The sequence below is a fragment of the Homo sapiens genome, chromosome X (genome assembly GCF_000001405.40).
Source record: "Homo sapiens chromosome X, GRCh38.p14 Primary Assembly".
NCBI lineage: Eukaryota > Metazoa > Chordata > Mammalia > Primates > Hominidae > Homo > Homo sapiens.
In genome coordinates, this window is record NC_000023.11 from 118,310,781 (window position 1) to 118,331,809 (window position 21,029).

The window sequence follows — 21,029 nt, forward strand, 5'->3', positions numbered from 1 at the left end:
CCTCCTAGCAGGAGTTTTACTAGTCTTGAAGAACATCTTGAGCCTCAGCTGTCACGATACCATCCCTGAGCCAAGCCAAAGATGTTTCTTTTGGCCAGGTGCAGTGTCTCACGCCTGTAATCCTAGCAATTTGGAAGGCCGACGAGGGCAAATCTCTTGAGCCCAGGAATTCAAGACCAGCCTGGGCAACATGGTGAAACCCTGTCTCTACAAAAAAAAAAAAAAAATTAGCCGGGCATGGCGGTGAGCACCTGTGGTAACAGCTACCCAGGAGGCTGAGGTGGGAGGGTCACTCAAGCCTGGGAAGTCAGGTGCCACTGCACTCCAGCCTGGGCAATAGAGCAAGACCTTGTCTCAAAAAAGAAAAAAAAAGATGTTTCTTTTAGAAAGCATAGAATTGCAAAGGACATTCAATATACCGGACAATGTATCAATTATATTGAAGTGGAAACCTCCCTGAACTATTAAGAACATCAACCAATTACTGGAGTTCCCCCTATATTCCACCCGAATTACTCTTCTAATAGACCTTTTAAAAAGGAAGGAGGGGTTTTTCCGAGGTCCCTGGCTGCAGCCACAGCATGCCGCAACTGAAACCTCTGTCTATCTTTCCCTTTATCCTTGCCTAGCCTACCCCAACATGCTCCTAAGTTATTAAAGCCAAACTCCAATTCCATGGAGAGAGCCATTTAATCCCCTATTTCCTCCAAAGTATATTACCTTACTCTTTCACCTACTTTCTTAAGGAATCTGGCTTTGGTTGAAGTTAAGTACATACTGTCTTCCAGGTAGAGATATACTACTTTAAAGTCCTCAAGTCCTTGTGATTCTAAGGTCAGACACCATTGACTAAGTAACTAGGCAAATCCAAAGACTCAGTTTTTGACAAACAGAGTAGTATTTGTAGAGATGTTTGAGTTTCACATCTAATATAGGTGGAATCACTAAGCAAATGCCCTGTCACATAAGCCAAATTCAAGCTCCTTGGTTAGCTTGGCAATCAACATCCTTCACAATACGGCCGTAAGCTGTTTTGTTTCAAGGTTCTGTCATTCTTCTCCAGGTCTCCCCAAATGGGCACCACACTAGCCCATGCTGTTCCCCAAAGACACCATGAATGTTTAGGTTCTGTGCCAATCCTACTTCATATTTTAAATTTGCCCATTCAAATCTATCCTCAACATAGCTAACATAATGGTTGCAAAATGCACATCTGATCATGTAGTTTCCCTCCTTAAAGCCTCTCCATGATTCCCTTCACCTGAAGGATGAAGTTCAAACTTTATAACATGGTATGCAAAGCTGTCCATGATCTAATCTCTTACTTCTCTAATCTAATTCCTCACCATTATCTGCCTTGCATTTCATGATCTGGCAATTCAAACTGCTTGTAGTCCTCCACTTGCACCATACTACTCTTATCTCCCTGCCTTTGCTGGTGTTCTCGCTAAGATTGCTTCAGTCACACCCATTCCCTTCATCAGCCTAATTCCTACATATTCTTGAACACTCAACTCAGATATTACCTTCAGGAAATATTCCCTGGTACCTTCTCTGCAAAGGCTGGCTTCAGTATCTCTCATACATCCTCCAATAATATAAAATGTAAAGTTCCATCACAGTTTTTAGCTCATTGTATTATGACTATATTTTTGTGTGCCAGTAAACCCATTTGATAGGTAGCTCTCTAAAGGGAGAGATTTTGTCTTATGTCTGTGTATTCCCAAGGTCTAACAATATCTGGCATGCAATAGGCCGTCAGATGCTTGCTGATTAAATTAACAAATAAATGAACTGCATCCTATCATTGGATAGGTAAACCAATCCCCCTCCCCCAATTCAACAATAAAGTGCCTGCCTTGAGGGAAGAATAAAGTCTGCTACAAACCCAGTCATAAATATGTTCTGAAAAACTTGTCAAATTTAGCTAAGACTGTTAGTATTGTGCATATATAGCTTCCAACCCAAATACTTGGCCATAAGGCCATAGCTTGAACTTACTTATGTAATGAAGAATAATTTGTATTCTTCATAATTTCTTATTGCGATGACCTGTTTATGTGTCTGCATCTCCCTCAAGAGGTTTGGACCATAATCCCAAAAGACACAATCCTGAATGCCATAATCGTGAATGTTGAAATCCTGAAAGATCAAAATCCCCAAAGTCCAAAATAAACAAACAAAAAAGTAAAAAATAAAAATAACAAAATCCCCGAAGTCTAAAATCCCAAAAGACCAAAATCCTGAAAAATCTAATTCTAGAAAAAAAATTTTTTTTAATTATTTAAAAGACACTTATTTATGTTTTTTAAAGGGATTTTTTTTTTTGAGACAGGGTCTCGCTCTGTTGCCCGGGCTGGAGTGCAGTGGAGCGATCTCAGCTCACTGCAACCCCCACTTCCTGGGCTCAAGTAATCCTCCCACCTGAGCCTCCCAAGTAGCTGAGACTACAGGCTTGTACCACCATGCCCTGCTAATTTTTGTATTTTCTGTAGGGACAGGTTTCACCATGTTGCCCAGGCTGGTCTCGAACTCCTGAGCTCAAGCAATCTGCCCACCTTGGCTTCCAAAAGTGCTGAGATTACAGGCGTGAGCCATCACGCCTGGCCTAAAAGGGGATTTATCTGAGAAACATAAAAACATGACAAAACACTTCATAGGCCAGTTTACACAATAAAATAGGCAATAATAATAATACATAGTTTAGCAAGCATAAACACTCAGGCATACTAACAACAGTTACATGGGTATAAATTTTAAGCAGACAAACGGTATTCATAAAGAAATCGCTTATATAACTTCATTCAACTGAAATATCATGATGGACAACCTGTCTTTTGACGAGATCTATCAAAAACTACAAGAAGTCACCACTACATATTTAGTCACCCAAAGAGCTGAAATCTAGATGAACTATCTTTCACAAATGCAGATGTATTTAATACAAAAAGGATATCTCTTTATTTACTGAGGAAGCTTCAGTGTTTTTATGTACATGCACAATGTGTACACACAAAGTCTATGTTGTGATAATGTACTTTCATGGAGTCAAATTTGCAAAAAAAAATGCATAAAACGAATTAGAACTCTCTAAAAGTCTTTACACAAGTTATAATTCCAGTATTGGAAATGATGTGAAGATAAAATACATTGCATAGGGAACTGTAAAAAATAATGCTGACAATTTAAAACAGTGGGGGGAAAACTAAACTAAAAAGAAAACTTGACATATGAAAAAGTGTATTACAGGGACAGATTATGGACAATTGCATAGAGGTGGTTCATAAGAGCTGATCAACTTTCACAATCATTAACTGTATTTTGAAATCTTGCATGGCAATAAATAGCTGTCTTTTTTCTTCTTTTAGGGCATGGCTATCTTCAGAGAAAATGTTAACATTCATTTTCTACATGGCACTGTTCTTTTTGAAATTCTTCTGTAACTCAACATACACCAACATGAGCATTCCCTATTAAATTCTGTGCCCTGCTCATATGTTGTTCTGTGTATGGGGAAATCCACTCCACATGCGTTCATTGGTGGAAACAACACCGTTGCGTGTCTTCTTATCCTACCATGCACATAATTATTTTTGAATCAGTCAGTAACTTCACTGCTTCTTCAGGCAAATGTGGCCTTCATTGAAGGCTCCCGGAATTTCATCAGCTGGCAGGAATGCCAATGCAGACAAATTATACATATATATATATATATATTTTTTTTTTTTTTTTGAGACAGGGTCTCACTCTGTTGCCCAAGCTGGTGTGCAGTGGCACGATCTTGGCCCACTGCAACCTCTGCCTCCCAGGTTCAAGCAATTCTCCTGTCTCAGCCTCCCGAGTAGCTGGGACTACAGGCACACATCACCACGCCCGGCTAATTTTTGTATTTTTAGTAGAGACGGGGTTTCACCATGTTGGCCAGGCTGGTCTTGAACTCCTGACCTCATGATCCACCCGCCCCAGCCTCCCAAAGTGCTGGGATTACAGGTATGAGCCACCGCACCTGGCCGACAAATTATACATTTTTAAACTGGAGTTTTTGTTGTTGCTGTATTGCATGGCCAATCCACTCATCTTAATTTTCTGCCAAATGCATTGGGCTGAATCGAAAAAATAAACCTTATTGGTAACACCTTAAAATTCACTTTTAGAAGCCTTGACTGAGCCTAATTCCAAATCTGTCGTTGTGGTTTGGGGATTCCATTAGATGTTAGAGATTTGACATTTTGGGAATTTAGACTTTAGGGATTGGGTCTTTCGGATTACTACGGGCAATGCCCACAAGATTAGGAACTTCTTAAAGCCCCACATCCAGTAGAATGCTTTGACACTTAGTAGGCACTCAATAAATGCTTACTGAATGAATGTGTAAGACATACATTTACACTGTTTTCTCTGCCAGAAATGCCTCTTCTTCCACTCCATTTCTACCCGAAAAAAATTATACTTGTCTTTTAAGCTTCAGCTCAAATGTCAACCTTTCTAACTCAACAGAAACAGAGCTAATTACTTCCTCCTCTGTGCTACCATAGTTCATTATACAAATAATTCTTGTAGCACCTATTACATTGGAGTATAGTTAAATTTAAGAACCATCACCCCACTACTTGTGAACTCCTCAAGAGTGGGAACTTTGATTATTTACATTTGTATCTCTCTATACTGTACCTAACACATAGAAGGCCCTAAATAATAGTTTGTCAAATTAGATTGAAAGGGGTGACAGTAAGAATAGAATGGAGGAGATATGTGTCATAACACTGGGACAGAGACCAAATCAAGAAGAATTTCTGAATGAGGGTAATATGAGTAAGGAAAGAAGACAGAAAATCAAGGATGACTTAAGGTTTTGAACTTGAATAACTAGAATAATTGAGTCATTTGCGTCTGAATCGCAGAAATAAAGAAATGAGTACTAGGCACAAGTTTGGGCAGGTGTGGGCAATCAGGAATTTACATTCAATCTTGGACATGCTGAGTTCAAGTTTCCAAGAAACATCCAGCCTACATTTAAGTCATCTATGGCTTAGAAGTCATCTATGGGTGGAGCTATCAAGACTAAGAGACAAGAAAAAAAATACCCACTTTCACCACATTGGTCTAAGTAAAAATAATAAAAAGAAAAAAAAATAACTGAGTGCTAAATATTGGAAAGGAAGAGAATATGTATTTGCTGACAATATCATAGTCTAACTGGGAAAGTGAAAAGTATAAAATAAAAACTACTAAAATCACAGGAGTCAAGATGAATACACAAAAATATATTTCTTTTAGTATAATGATAACTAATTAGAAAATGCAATAAAAAACTATTTGTGGGCCGGGTGCGGTGGCTCATGCCTGTAATCCCAGCACTTTGGGAGGCTGAGGCGGGCAAATCAAGAGGTCGGGAGATTGAGACCATCCTGGCTAACATGGTGAAACCACCGTCTCTACTAAAAATACAAAAAAAAAAAAAAAAAATTAGCCGGGCGTGGTGGCAGGCGCCTGTAGTCCCAGCTACTCGGGAGGCAGAGCTTGCAGTGAGCTGAGATCTTGCCGCTGTACTCCAGCCTGGGCGACAGAGCGAGACTCCGTCTCAAAAAAAAAAAAAAACTATTTGTGATAATAAAACTATAAAACACATAGAGAAATGTGTAAAATCTATATTAGGAAAGCCATAGAACTTCACTAAAGCACATAAAAGAACATTTTTAAAAATGGAAAAGCATACCAAGTTCCTGGATGGGATGATGCAATAGCCTAAATAAAACAATTCCTCCAAAATTAACACGTAAATCCAACGTAATTTTTATCAAAAACCTAAAGAACATTTTTGGAAATATGAAAAATTAATTCTAAAATTCATCCATAAGAGTATATTCCAGAGTTTTTTTTTGAAAAAAAAAGAATAATGAGAATGGACTTGCTCTGCCAGAAAGCAAAACTTACATAAAGCAACAACAGTGAAAACAATCCAGAACATATCTATGTTTATCTGGGGGGTTTATATGTGATAATAGTGAAATTTCATATCTGAGAGAAAAAAATTGGAAAAAATTAAGATATACCATATACAAAAATGAATTCCAGATGGATTGAAGATCTAAATGTAAAAAACGAAATACAGAAAGATAGAATACAGAAGACTCATGTGACAATATTGAGGTAGGAAAAGCTTTCTAAACAACTCATATCACCTCCAGGCTACAAAGTGAAAAAAACGATAGCTCTCACTGCATAGAAATCTAAAGTTGTACAACAAATGACAGCATAAACAAAAATCAAGAATTTTTTAAAAACTAAAAAAAAAATCGGAGCGAAAATATTCTAGCAAATTAAAGGATTTAAGATACATAAAAAATAGAGTTCTTTCAAATCAATAGGAAAAGAGAATCCAAAGGAAAAAATAAGCAAACAGGCAATTCAAAGATAAGTACAAATTTTTAATAAAACATTTAAAAACATCCAGCCTTGCTATTAATAAAAATGCAAGTAGAAACAATGAGATCATTTCTTTTTACTGTCAGGTTGGCAAAAATAAAAATAATTAAACCCTAATCAATAACCAGTGCTCTTCGTGAGGATATAAAGAAATGGATTGCTTTAAACTCTATCCATGAGAGTGATTGTAAATTGCTTCAAACTTTACAAAGGCAAATTATTATTGACTATTAAAGCCCTATATTAAAGCTCTACTATTAAGGTCTATTAAAATGTTAATCATTTATTTAAGTAGCCGTAACTAACCTTTTTTTTTTTTTTTTTTTTTTTGGTGGAGGGGACAGAGTCTTGCTCTGTCACCCAGGCTGCAGTGCAGTGGCGCCATCTCGGCTCACTGCAACCTCAGCCTCCCAGGTTCTAGCAATTCACCTGCCTCACTCTCCTGAGTAGCTGGGACTACAGGCGCATGCCACCATGCCTGGCTAATTTTTTTATTTTTAGTAGAGACAGGGCTTCACTGTGTTGGCCACGCTGGTCTCAAACTCTTGACCTCAGGTGATCAGCCCACCTCGGCTTCCCAAAGTGCTGGGATTACAGGCATGAGCCACCATGCCAGGCCAAGTATCTATAACAATTTTAAATGTATAGACCCAATCTTCCCCCAGTTCCATAGTGTGCCATTCATATTGCTATGGACTGAATGTGTTTCCTGCCAAATTCATACATTGAAACCCTAATCTCCAATGTGATGGTATTTGGAAGTGGGGCCTTTGGCAGGTAACTGGGTTTAGATGAGGTCATGAAGGTGGGACCCTCATGATAGGATTCGTGTCCTTATAAGGAGCTACATCAGAGAGCTTGCTCTCTCTCTCTCTCTCCCCGCATCGTGTGAGGATACATCAAGAAAGATGCAGTCTGCAAGTCAGGAAGAGAGCCCTCACTAAGAACTGAATCTGCTAGCACTGTGATCTTGGACTTCCCAGCCTCCAGGACTGTGAGAAATAGGTATCTGTTGTTTAAGCCATCCAGTCAATGTCATTTTCTTATAGCCACCTGAACAGACTAAGACATGTATCATATTTCCTTTAGTCACACCAGACATCCGAACCTCTCGTCTATCATAATCTAAATCTTAATTCCCATACCACATTCTTCATCTTCTATGATAAACCAATATCTCCCTTTCTTTACCCTCCTAAATTATGTCTTCTGGAACTCAGTTTGTACCAAATTAAACTTTGCTCTATCCTTAGCCTCTTCCTTAAATGTTCCCTTCACCTTCTTCTTCTAACCAAAATGTCACTTCTCCCTGAGGACACTGTTTTCCTTGAAGCCTTCTCAAGTGGAGGCTGTTCTCTTCCACATAAGTCACACAAACTAGAGTTGGAGGTAAAGTGCCCATTGTCCTCACAGCCATTTCTAATTCATTATTCCTTAAAACTCACCAGCTCCACACCTGGCTGTTGTCATCTAGCCCTCAGTCATCTATGGCTTTGCCAACAGTCCTGCTATCTTGTTCTCTACCACTACTGCTGTCATTATTTTTGGTGACTTTGATATTCACATGGATGATAGATAAAACCCACTAGTCAATTAGTTCCTTGACCTCCTCCCATCCAATGATGTTTTCCTCCAAGCTACCTCAGCTGCTCACTTCCATTGCCATAACCTAAACCATGCAATCACCATAACTTAACTACTTCTCAATGTAACCCTGGAATCTCAAAGACTATAGAGTAAAGCCTTCAAAATTCTGAAGGAAAATTATTTCAAAATTAATATACCTAGTCTAACTACTGATCAAGTGACAGGATAGATTAAAGATATTTCAAACAGGCAAGATCTCATATAACCCCTGATGCCTGGATCAGCTGAGGATTCTAATTTTACCTCACTCAAGTGTTAGGCTTTGAACTATTCTTAAGAGCTGGAGGTTGACTATGGTGAGTTTAAAATATGTGGAGCAGCCCATTCCCTCCAGTCATATTTCTGCAGGATGTTCAAAATCTGGTCTACACTGTAGCCTTGCCAAACATCCTGACCATTGTGAACCATGTGTTTCTCAGGCCAAGTGGTGTCTGGTTAGCTGGCTATCCAAAAGTATTTTTTAATTAAAAGAAAAAGCCCTGGCAGGGTGCAATGGCTCACACCTGTAATCTCAGCACTTTGGGAGCCTGAGGCAGGAGGATTGTTTGAGCTCAGGAGTTTGAGACCAGCCTGGGCAATATGGTGAAACCCTGTGTCTACTAAAAATATAAAACTTAGTCAGGCCTGGTGACACACATCTGCAATCCTAGCTACTTGGGAGGCTGAGGCACGAGAATCACTTGAACTCAGGAGGTGGAAGTTGCGGTGAGCCAAGATCATGCCACTGCACTCCAGCCTGGGTGACAGAATGAGATTGTTTCAATCAATCAATCAATCCATAGAAAAGCAAAGCCCTTTTTCTACAGTTTGTCAATTTTAATGACATAAACATTTCCTTTGTGGGCAATTTTTTAAATTTATTTTTTAATTGACTAAGGTAGTATGTATTTATGATGTACAACATGATGTTTTGAAATATGCACACATCGTGGAGTGACTAAGTTTAGCTAATTAACATGTGCATTATCTCACATGCTTATCATTTTTGTGGTGAGAATACTTACAATGTACTTTCTCAGCAATTTTCAAATATACAATACATTGTTATTAACTATAGTCACCATGTTGTACAACAGATCTCTTGAATTTATTCCTCCTGTCTAACTGAAATTTTGTGTCCTTTGACCAACATTTCCCCACCTCCAATACCACCCTCACCCCATCCCCTGCTAGATGGGCAACTTCAAGCTGCTAATATAGTATCGGTTTTCTGAAACCATCAGCCAGTTCCAGCACTCCACTGTGTGACACGGCAGCTCTCACAACTTTGCCCACTAATTTCCTTAGAAGGAATTCTCATAAACTCTCAGGGAAGCAGAAGACAAGATGTGCCCCAGAGACTCTTCCTCTGGGATCTTTTATTTAATAGTGACAATACTGCCCTTTCCTAACACAGTAAGTTTAGTGCTTGAGACTCATTTTTTTTTCAAAATAAAACAATATAATATACGTATATGGTTAATATATAAAGAAAAAACACAAAGAAATGTTTAAAACAAAAGGCAAGACACTGATTGCCTCTGTTGGTGAGGGAGGGGGAAGTAATTGAGGAGCAGCTCACAGGGGCCTTCTAAGATATTGAAAATGTCCTATTTCTTAAGCTGGATGGTGGATACGTAGGTGTTTATTTTATTATTATGCCTATGTTATTTTTATGGGAGATATAGCTAATAGCTAAAAATAATAAAATAGAAAAAAAATTAAAAAACACAAACGAAAAATTATGTATTAAAAAACGCAGTAGAATTTTTTTATATAATCTTCATTTAGGAGGAACTTCCTTAGCAAGACTCCAAATTCACAATCCAAAAATTGACAGATTTGATGACATAAAAATTAAAAACATCTGTACAACAAAAGATAACCAAAACAAAGTTTGGGGGTTTTAGATACAGGGTCTCACTTTGTCACCCAGGCTGGAGTGCAGTGGCTCTATCATAGCTCACTGAAGCCTCGAATTCCTGGGTTCAAATGATCCATACTCGCACCTCAGTTTCCCAAGTAGTATGTGCCACCATGCCCAGCTAATTTTTTTAAACTTTTGTAGAGACAGGGTCTCACTATGTTGCCCAGGCTAGTCTTGAAATCCTAGCTTCAAGCAATCCTCGTACCTCAGTCTCCCAAAGTGCTGGGATTACAGGCATAAGCCACCATACCCAGCCTAAACAAAGTTAAAAGACAAGTAACAGAGTAGGAAGGAAGATTTTCTATTGTGTGAGAAAAGGATTAATACTTTAAATATCTGACAAGACCCTATAAAGCAATGAGAAAAAAAGACAAAAAAAAATGAGAAAAATAAGTAAAGAATATCAACAGACAATTCACAGAAAAAATATGCAAACAGTAAATATATTTTAAAATGTTCAATCTCACTAATATTAGAGAAAATAAATTAAGCAATAATGAAATGCCAATTTTCACCAATCTTGTTGGCAAACAAAAATGATCAATAAAATCTAGTGTTGGTGAGGGTGTAAAGAAACAGGGTCTCTCACACACTACTGGCAGGAGTGTAATTGGGTAACTTCTTCTTGGAGGACAATCTGGTTTTATATCTAACAAAATCTAGCATTTTCAACCTGCTAGAATTCAGGTTGAAATTTCCCCTGCTAGAATGGTAGCCTTCAGATGCACTCAGACAGGTGCACAAAGTATAGGTGAAAAATAAAACTGAATGCCCATCAGCTGGTTAAATGTATTGCAAGATATTCACACAATGGAATTTATGCATTTGTTTAAAAAAGAAGATGGGGTGGGTGTGGTGGCTCATGCCTGTAATCCCATCACTTTGGGAAGCCAAGACCGGAGGATCACTTGAGCCCAGGAGTTTGAGACCAGCCTGGACAACATAGCGAGACCCAATCTCTACCAAAAAAAATTTCTTAAATTAGCCAAGCATGCATGCCTGTAGTCCAAGCTACTCCAGAGGCTGAGGTGGGAGGATCGTTTGAGTGTGGGAGGTCGAGGCAGCAGTGAGCTATGATAGCACCACTGCACTCCAGCGTGGGCGACAAGGTCCCCATCTCGAAAAGAACAGAACAGAACAGAAGAGAAAAGAAAAGAAAAGAGGGAGGGAGGGAGGGAGGATGGAAGAGAAGAAAAGAAGATGCACAGACATGGAAAGATGTCTCTGGTTTATTACTACATTTTTAAAAAGCAACATGCAGATTAATACTTATAGTATGCTTTTATGAAAAAATCTCTCTATATGAATATGTGTGCATTTGTATGTATACATATATATGTATATAAAAGACAAGAAAAATATTTTGAAGGAAACTCACTAAACTATTCATTATGGTTATCTCTTGTGGGGGAATGTGACCGGAGGAAGACTATCAATTGTCTTCCGACACCTGACACAGTGGCTCATGCCTGTAATCCCAACACTTTGGGAGGCTGAGACGGGTGGATCTCTTGAGCTCAGGAGTTTGAGACCAGCCTGAGCAACATGGTGAAACCCTCACTCTGCAGAAAATATGACAAATCAGCTGGGCATAGGGTATGTGCCTGTAGTCTCAGCTACTTGGGAGGCTGAGGTGGGAGGATCACTTCAGCCCAGGAGGTCGAGGCTGCAGGGGGCAGAGATCGCACCACTGCACTCCAGCCTGGGTGACAGAGTGAGATCCTGTCTCAAAAAATTAATGAAAATTATAATTAACTTCTATATTGTTTGAATCTTTATCAGCATGTATCTGAATATTTCTTGTGTAATTTTAATATAAAAATGTTCATATTTGCGTAGTTGGGGAGGAATTTTTACCAAAACATGTATTTGACAATGTACAATTTAGTATATACATTGGGACCTCTTTTATGAGTAATCCAGATTACTTTTGTCAAAGTAGCCTATGGATAATACAGGATCACAATCATAATGACAAAATTATATATCTCTGACTCTTCTCTGATCTGCTCTGCAGAAGTTATAAATAACCATTCTTAAGTTTTTCCCAACTATTTATAGAAATAAGTTCTTAGAGCTATCTTACATGTGTTCTATAAATGAGTCAGTTTGGCTGCCATGTGGTGCCTGCCATTTTCCTCCAATAATGATGTCTCCTGTTCTTGTCATCACCAAGAGCAGTTAGTACGTCAACAATGCTCATGAAGGCTTCATGGGCTGATGTCTGAGCTAAAGGCGCCAATGCTGTTTGTCAAAGTTATTGAGGATACTATTGCCATCAGAGCTACTTCCCTCAACAATGCCACTGCAATACTGCTACCACCATCACTATCATCTTGGTACCTCTTTTCCCTCACCCCCACATCCAATTTATCTAAAAGTCCTATGGATTCGACCTCCAAAATATACCTCAAATATGCCAACTTCTTTCCAAGTCCACTATTACCACCTTGGCTCAAGCCACCACCATATCTTATTTGGGCTACTGCAATTATCCTATTAATTGATCTCCTTGTTTCTGTTCTTGCAGTAATCCAATACATTTTCCACAATAGTAATATGAATGATCCTCTAAAATATAAATTAGGGCCTGGCGCGGTGCCTCACGCCTGTAGTCCCATCACTTTGGGAGACCAAGGTGGGCAGGTTTCTCAAGTTCGGGAGTTCAAGACCACCCTGGGCAACATGGTGAAACCCTGTCTCTACAAAAAATACAAAAATTAGCCGAGCATGGTGGTACATGTCTGTAGTCTCAGCTAGTTGGGAGACTGAGGTGGAAGGATTGCTTGAACCTGGGAGGTCAAGGCTGCAGTGAGCCATGGTCGCACCACTGCACTTCAGACCAGGTGACAGAGCGAGACCCTATCTCTCTCTATATATACATACATATCATTTCCCTGCTAAATATATATATCAAGCAGGGAAATTATAAGACCTAGACATATATATATATATATATATATATATATATATACACACACACACACACACACACACACACACACACACACACACGTGTCTAGGTAGCACACACACATATATGTTATATATATAGGCCTTATACATGTATATATGTGTGTGTTACCTAGACACATATGTGTGTGTGTGTGTGTGTGTGTATGTCTAGGTCTGATTTTATATATATATAGGTTATATATATGTTATATATATAGGTTATATATATGTTATATATATATGTTATATATATAGGTTATATATATGTTATATATATATGTTATATATATAGGTTATATATACGTTATATATATATATACAGTCTTAACATTTCCCTGCTCAAAACAATTCAGTGACTCTCCATCATACTTATATTAAAATTTAGGCTCCTTATCATGATTTCCTTGGTTGTATATGATCTGCCCTGACTACCTCTAGAATCTCATCTTGTGCCATTCTCTCCTCAATCAATTTGGCCCAGCCTCACTGGCCTCCTTTCTATTCCTCCGACATGCCAAGCTTTCTTCTGCCTTGGGGTCGTTGTATTTGATGTTTCTTTGCCTAGAAAGTTCCTCGCCCTATCTTCATATGGTTGACTCCTTCTTGTCATTCATATCTTAACTCAAATGTTACCTCTTCAGAGAGTAACTTTCCCTGACTTACCAATCCACATAGGCACCCACTCATTCTCTACTATATCGTTCTATTTCAAGCTCTGCACAGCACTTAGCACTGGCTGACCTTGTTTTTGTTTCTTCGTCCATGTCTATCAACAGACCCACTAGAATCTATGATCCAAGAAAGCAAGAATCTTGTTTATCCTGTTTGCCACTGTATCCTCAGCACCTATGTGCCTGGTGGATAGCATAGGTTCTCAGTAAAATTTTGCTAAATGAAGGAGTCATCATCACTGTGATGGTTAATACTAACTGTTAACTTGAGTGGATTGAAGGATGCAAAGTGTTGTTCCTGGGTGTGTCTGTGAGGGTGTTGCCAAAGGAGATTAACATTTGAGTCAGTGGACTAGGAGAGGCAGACCCACCCTTAATCTGGATGGCCACAATCTAATCAGCTTCCAGCACAGCTACAATAAAAGCAGGCAGAAGAGCGTGGAAGGACTAGACTGGCTGAGTCTTCCAGCATTCATCTTTCTCCTGTGCTAGATGCTTCCTACTTTGGACTCTCAGACTTACACCAGTAGTTTCCAGAGGCTCTCGGGCCTTCGACCACAGACTGAGGGCTGCTGCACTGTCGGCTTCCCTACTTGTGAGGTTTTGGGACTCGGACTGGCTTCCTTGCTCTTCAGCTTGCAGACAGCGTATCGTGGGACTTCACCTTGTGATCGTGTGAATCAATACTCCTTAATAAACTCCCTTTCATATAAACATCTATCCTATTAGTCCTGTCCCTCTAGAGAACCCTGACTAATACAATCACCAATACTGCCGGTGTTGTTGTCAGTGTCAAGCTTGGCTGCACATAGAATTACCTGAGGAAATTTAATAAATATTAATGCCTTACCTGGTCCCAACCTAAGAGGTTCTCATTAATTGCTATGGGCTGCATCCTGGGCGTCAGGATTCTTTAGAGCTCTCCAGGTAATTCTGATGTGTAGCCAAGGTTGACAACCACTGGTTAAGAATAAATTCTTTCACAGGGGACTCTGATTCCTCATATAAATAGATTCCTGGTAGAGCAATGTTAAGTCCTCTTGACTCTTTTTGAATTACAACGAATAATAACTCTAGGCTCAAGCTGGAACCCTTGGTGCATAGATATGCCACCACTCACTAATACTGAAATTATTAATACATTAATATTTTTACCAAATCCAGGGTCTTGAATATCCATTTCCTGATGACATTAACTGAGATGGGGCACTTTTAAGAAATGTAGTGTGTACTTGTTGTCACTAGAGGGCTGTCAGGTAAGGTAAGCAAAAGTGCAAGAAAAGAAAGTTTTCAAATTTGCTGAGAATTCATTCCCCCCCTCCCCCGCCCTCAGTTCCTATCACTTTGATGAGTATAAATCTAAATTTCCCATATCCAGCTCCGTCCACCACTTATATCTATAGTGCTGTATATTCAAGTGCATCCTAGTGATGTCTTCCTGATTGTCCATCACTTGCATTTAACCAAACACAAAAATCAAACACAAGCGTTCCAAAACTGACTTCCCTTTCTGAGTTCTATTTCAGTCCATGATGTTTTTATTCTTCCAGTCACTTAAACGACAAACTCCACATTCCCGTGCCTCTTTTTCCCATGTGCTTCCTCCCTTCATGCTTCAAGCTGATTTTACTTCCCAAGTATTTCTCACATCCATTTCTCCCCCTTTATCCCTATTGCCATGGCCTAAGTCCAGACCCCCAGCACTTTTCACCTGGATTATTGTAATAACCTCCTGAGTCTGTCTGACCCAGTTTGGGGTCATCTACTCCTTCCTTAATACTGCCACCAGAGTGAGCTTTTAAAACCAAAAAGTTGGCCCTGCATAATGGCTCACACCTGTAATCCCAGCACTTTGGGAGGCTGAGGTGGGTGGATCACCCGAGGTCAGGAGTTCAAGACCAGCCTTGCCAACATGGTGAAACCCCACCTCTACTAAAAACACAAAAATTAGCCAGGCTTGGTGGTGTGTGCCTGTAATACCAGCTACTCCAGAGGCTGAGGCAGGAGAATCACTTGAACCCGGGAGGCGAAGGTTGCAGTGAGCCGACATAGCGACACTGCACTCCAGCCTTGGCAACAGAGTGAGACTCTGTCTCAAATAAACAAATAAATAAATAAAACCAAAAAGTTGATCATGCCCTGAAACTAAAGATAAAATTTAATTTAATTTAATTTAAAATTTGATCATAATTATGGCAGTTCACTGCTTAAAACCCTTCACTGGCTCCATAAAAAATATAAAAAGGGTCTTTTAAGATCTGGCTCCTGCTTACTTCTCCAAACACATCTTTCACAGCTGCTTCTCTTGCATGCTAAGATCTGACACTTCTGAACTTCCAGTTCCTCCATCTATGCATTAGCAAGTGCTATTTCCTCTGCTTATAATGCCCTTCCTCCTCTTTTTAGTCTGGTGAGCTACTCAGCATTCAAGATTCAGCTAAGAGGTTTCCTTCTCTTTCCAGGCAAAAATAGTCACTTTGAAGGCCAGGCGCGGTGGCTCACACCTGTAATCCCAGCACTTTGGGAGGCCGAGGTGGGCGGATCACAAGGTCAGGAGATCGAGACCATCCTAGCTAACACGGTGAAACCCTGTCTCTACTAAAAATACAAAAAAAAAATTAGCTGGGTGTGGTGGTGGGTGCCTGTAGTCCCAGCTACTCGGGAGGCTGAGGCAGGAGAATGGCGTGAACCCGGGAGGCAGAGGTTGCAGTGAGCCGAGATCGAGCCACTGCACTCCAGCCTGGGCGACAGAGCAAGGCTCCGTCTCAAAAAATAAATAAATAAATAAATAAATAAATAAATAAATAAATAAAGAATGCCAGCACTTAGGGAGGCCAACGCAGGTGGATCACCTGAGGTCAGGAGTTCGAGACCAGCCTGGGCAACATGGTGAGTAGTCACTTTGGTGCTGCCTGGGCATCAGGATTTTTAAAACCCTCTGGGTGATTCTGATGTGCATCCCAAGTTGAGAACCACAGTCACCATATATCTTTAACACTATACTGCATTTCAGCTAGTTTTTAGCATATCTGTCCTCCCTTCTAGACTATAAGATGTTTGAGGGAAGAAACCATGTCATTCAATTTTGCAATCCCAGTTCCTGTTGAGAATACATGAATGAGTGCATAAATTCTACCAGTAATATAAAAGCACAAATTTCCACTAATATTCTTGTTGTATCATAAACATATATGATTCACTTTTGTAAAATATAATGTAGCATTACCTTATAAGAGCATAAGAACTGTCTTGCTGATTTAGACTAAATATTGTTATCAATAGTGTAAAAGAACATGGTTTTTCTCACTGACGTCAACCTCAACCTACTCAGAAATATACCCATAATAATTCTAACTTCCTGTAATAATTTATTATAAAACCATTATAAGTGAATTAATAAATCTATTCAGAAGCTATTTATAATTTCAGTTAGTCCTACTTCCTGGGGATAAATTTACTATTGGCATGCAGCAACATTCCAGGGCCTGGTAACAGACTCAGAGTGCAATGAAGCCGCCTAAAATTTTCTTTTTTAGATAGAACTCAATCCTGGGACCAAGGACAATTTATCCCAAGAGCAGTTTCCCTAGATGGCTTCATTACACCATCACATTCTTATCAACAGCTGCTTAGCTAAAAAGTTCTTCGGGACAGTTCAGCCAGCCCAACTCAAAAAACTTGAAGATATTTCTGGAATTACAAGAGAGATAGTTAGTAGGCCATGGAAATAGAGGACACCTGTTGTTGTCATTTCACAACAAAAAAAGACACTAGAAAATTTGAGCCTTTATCCTAGGTAGGAGTGCCTAACCATAGTTTGGAGGTCTTCGACAGTGGGGAAATGTGAAGACCTAACCTGAGTTGGGTCTAGGACATGTATTCTTCAAACCTGCACCCTGCTTTGGCAGGGGTATCCTGTTAAAGGGCCCTCTCAACTCCTTTCAACTCATTCACTTAGACACATATAGTGTATATGTGGGCCAGGACCATTAACTCTTTCCAAAAGAACAGGGACCTGAATATTTTCTAGGGCCATGAGGTGGCAGCAAGAAAGTGCTTTGTTCACCTGTATTCAGTTCAAGAAAGCCAGGGTTCAAAAGTAGGCTGGGTGCGGTGGCTCATGCCTGTAATCCCAGCACTTTGGGTGGCCGAGGCAGGTGGATCACCTGAGGTCAGGAGTTCAAGACCAGCCTAGCCAACATGGTGAAACCCCGTCTCTACTAAAAATACTAAAAAGTAGCCAGGTATGGTGGCACATGCCTGTAGTCCCAGCTACTGAGGAGGCTGAGGCAGGAGAATTGCTTGAGCCTGGGAAGCAGAGGTTGCAGTGAGCCGAAATCGCGCCACTGCACTCCAGCCTAGACAACAGAGGAGACTCTGTCTCAAAAAAAAAAAGTAGTTGAAATACATATCAACAAACTTTTATGTAGCAACATAGTCTTAAGGTACAGACACAAGGTAGCTAGATGTTGCCTCAACCATAGTCTGAGGAGGACTCTTTGGGATAAAAATGACAAACATTCTTCCTATTTTCAGTACTTAAGGGGTGAACATCTTTGTTCCTAAACTGGAAGCTTGATTAGGGTTGCAGATGCAGTGAAATGGACCTGGACACCCTATAGCTGACTCCAACTGGCTCCCTCAGTCTATTCCAGAACGCAGCTAAACTGAAAGCCGTGAAAGGAGAATTTGGGGAAGAGCTACTTGTATTTGTAGTGATGGCAAATTATTGCTTAACTTTGCACAGGTGAGACTACTAACAAAGTCTTTCCATATTCACTGTTAACACTCCCTCTATATAGTCACTAGACCCTGAATTTGAAGTCTTAGTTTTTCGAGTTAATCTTCCCTACTTCTAATTTTCAGTTCCAGATTACCATACGGGCTTTTACTTCCTTTTTGGTCTCTCAAGAGGCAAAGTCCTTTGTTATCTGGTCTTCAACAGACACAGTTTTTTGGCTTCTGATTGAAAGAGCACTAACTTCCTGACTACCTCTCATCACCCACTTGACTAGTTTCCCTCTGGCTGCTCCTAGGATGTCCTGTTTCTCCCTATCTCCTCCTCCCTGCTTGTGATAGAGGCTCTGCTTCCACACTATTCCTGGTCGCTGTCCACAGGGTTATAACATACTGAATAGTCTGCAACTGTCCCTGGATCCTGCACTTTGCAGCCACCATCATGTATTCTGTACCCAACTCTCATAAGCTTCTTCCTGACCCTGACACTGATCATCTCACATGTTTTTTGTCTCTTCTTTTTTTCCCAAAAACACTCTTGAATTTGGGGTTTCATTTTATTTTATTTTATTTTTTTTAGACAGAGTCTCACTTTATCACCCAGGCTGGAGTGCAGTGGTGCGATCTCAGCTCACTGCAACATCTGCTTCCCAGGTACAAGCGATTCTCTTGCCTCAGCCTCCCCAGTAGCTGGGATTACAGGCCTGTGCCACCAAGCCCGGCTATTTTTAGTAGAGATGGGGTTTCGCCATGTTGGCCAGGTTGGTCTCGAACTCCTGACCTCAGATGATCCACCTGCCACGGCCTCCCAAAGTGCTGGGATTACAGGCATGAGCCATAGTGCCCGGCCTTGGATTTGTTTTTTACAAGTCTACACCTATGAATCACTCACCTAGCATGTTGGGCTGCATGTGCTTACCTTCTTCCAGTTTATACTTTCCTCCCATTAAAAAATTAACAATACACATCTTCAAAAGCATGCCCACCACCACTAATTGCCACAAGCATTTACAGATACTTAAGATTCTTATGTTTATATTTTAACACTCCCATTTTCTGAACACACCTCTCCAAATTTCACAGTCACTTGGAGGAAGGAAGGCATTTGTCCAGATGTCTCAGAGTATTTATGGCTGGAATCTTCAACCTGACAATGAAATGACAAATCTTCACAACACGAAAATGTAATGCAATGCTCCCTCAAACAAACTTTGTTTAAAGTGTTACCTAAGGACCACCTGCATCACAGTCATTTTGGGGAAGTTTCTTAAAATGCTGATTTTGGCCGAGCACGGTGGCTCACACCTGTAATCCCAGCACTTTGGGAGGCTGAGGCAGGTGGATCACGAGGTCAGGAGATTGAGACCATCCTGGCTAACACGGTGAAACCCTGTCTCCTCTAAAAATACCAAAAATTAGCCGGGCGTGGTGGCAGGCGCCTGTAGTCCCAGCTACTTGGGAGGCTGAGGCAGGACAGTGGCGTGAACCCAGGAGGCAGAGCTTGCAGTGAGCAGAGGTCGCACCACTGCACTCCAGCCTGGGTGACAGAGTGAGAGATTCCCTCTCAAAAAAAAAAAAATGCTGATTTTGGGGATCTCCCAGAGATCAGAATTCAATAGATCTGGAGTGAAGTCCCAGAATCTGTATTCTAACAGGCTCTCCAGTTGAGTGTATAGTTTGAAAACCACTGCAATAAGAGATGCTGCTTATGTAGCTTTGTTCACTTTAGGCATCAAGATCTTGACTGTGGTCAGCAGGCAATGCACCCATAACAGTGTGTGATGTATGGAAAGTTCTTTAACTTGAGACTTTATGAAGACAGCAGAGATATCTGTTAAGAGTAATTGAAACTGGCTGGGCGTGGTGGCGGGCACCTGTAGTCCCAGCTACTCGGGAGGCTGAGGCAGGAGAATTGCTTCAACCCAGGAAGCAGAGGTTGCAGTGAGCCGAGATTGCGCCATTGTGCTCCAGCCTGGGCAACAGAGCAAGACTTCGTCTCAAAAAAAAAAAAAAATGACAGAGAGAGTAACAGAAAGTGAACTCTAACAGCAAGGACTATATTCTTGCTCATGCACACACAGATACACACTACTTGTTTACTTACTACATATATTTTAATAAAGCAAACTACAAGGGTCTGTGGTGGGTTTTGATATCAATCTCCAGATCCTCTTTTCTCAGGAACAGACCCTGCCTACATTTTCCTTTCAGATTCTGGGAATCATTCCCTATGTCTCCCAAGTTGTCATACCAATGCTGACTGATGTGGGAGAACCAATTCTTGCTTCAGGGTGCTTATTAGGAATCCCATGCACTTGCTCTAAGTATCAATAATTAATTTATTCCTATATTAACCTTTATTTCCTTCTGATGTGCTCTGCAAGTGGCTGGCTACCTGCTGTACTAGTTAATAGGAATTGGCAATACTTTCAGGCAATGTCTAACCCAACAGTTCCAAAAGCGGGGGTTGGTTGGAAGGGAAGGGGATATATGAAAATAATCTGAGGAGCTTTTTCAAGTGACATGTGCTTTCTGCCCAGGATACATGAGATTTTGGCAAAACCCAAGTTTGTGGATGGGGGATGGGGGTCGAGAATCCCTGGTCTAACCAGCAATCTGCGTTCTCTAAAGCTGTTGTATTCTCTCATTTTTAAAATCAGCATTCTTCAAGGTGAGAGAATGGGAGG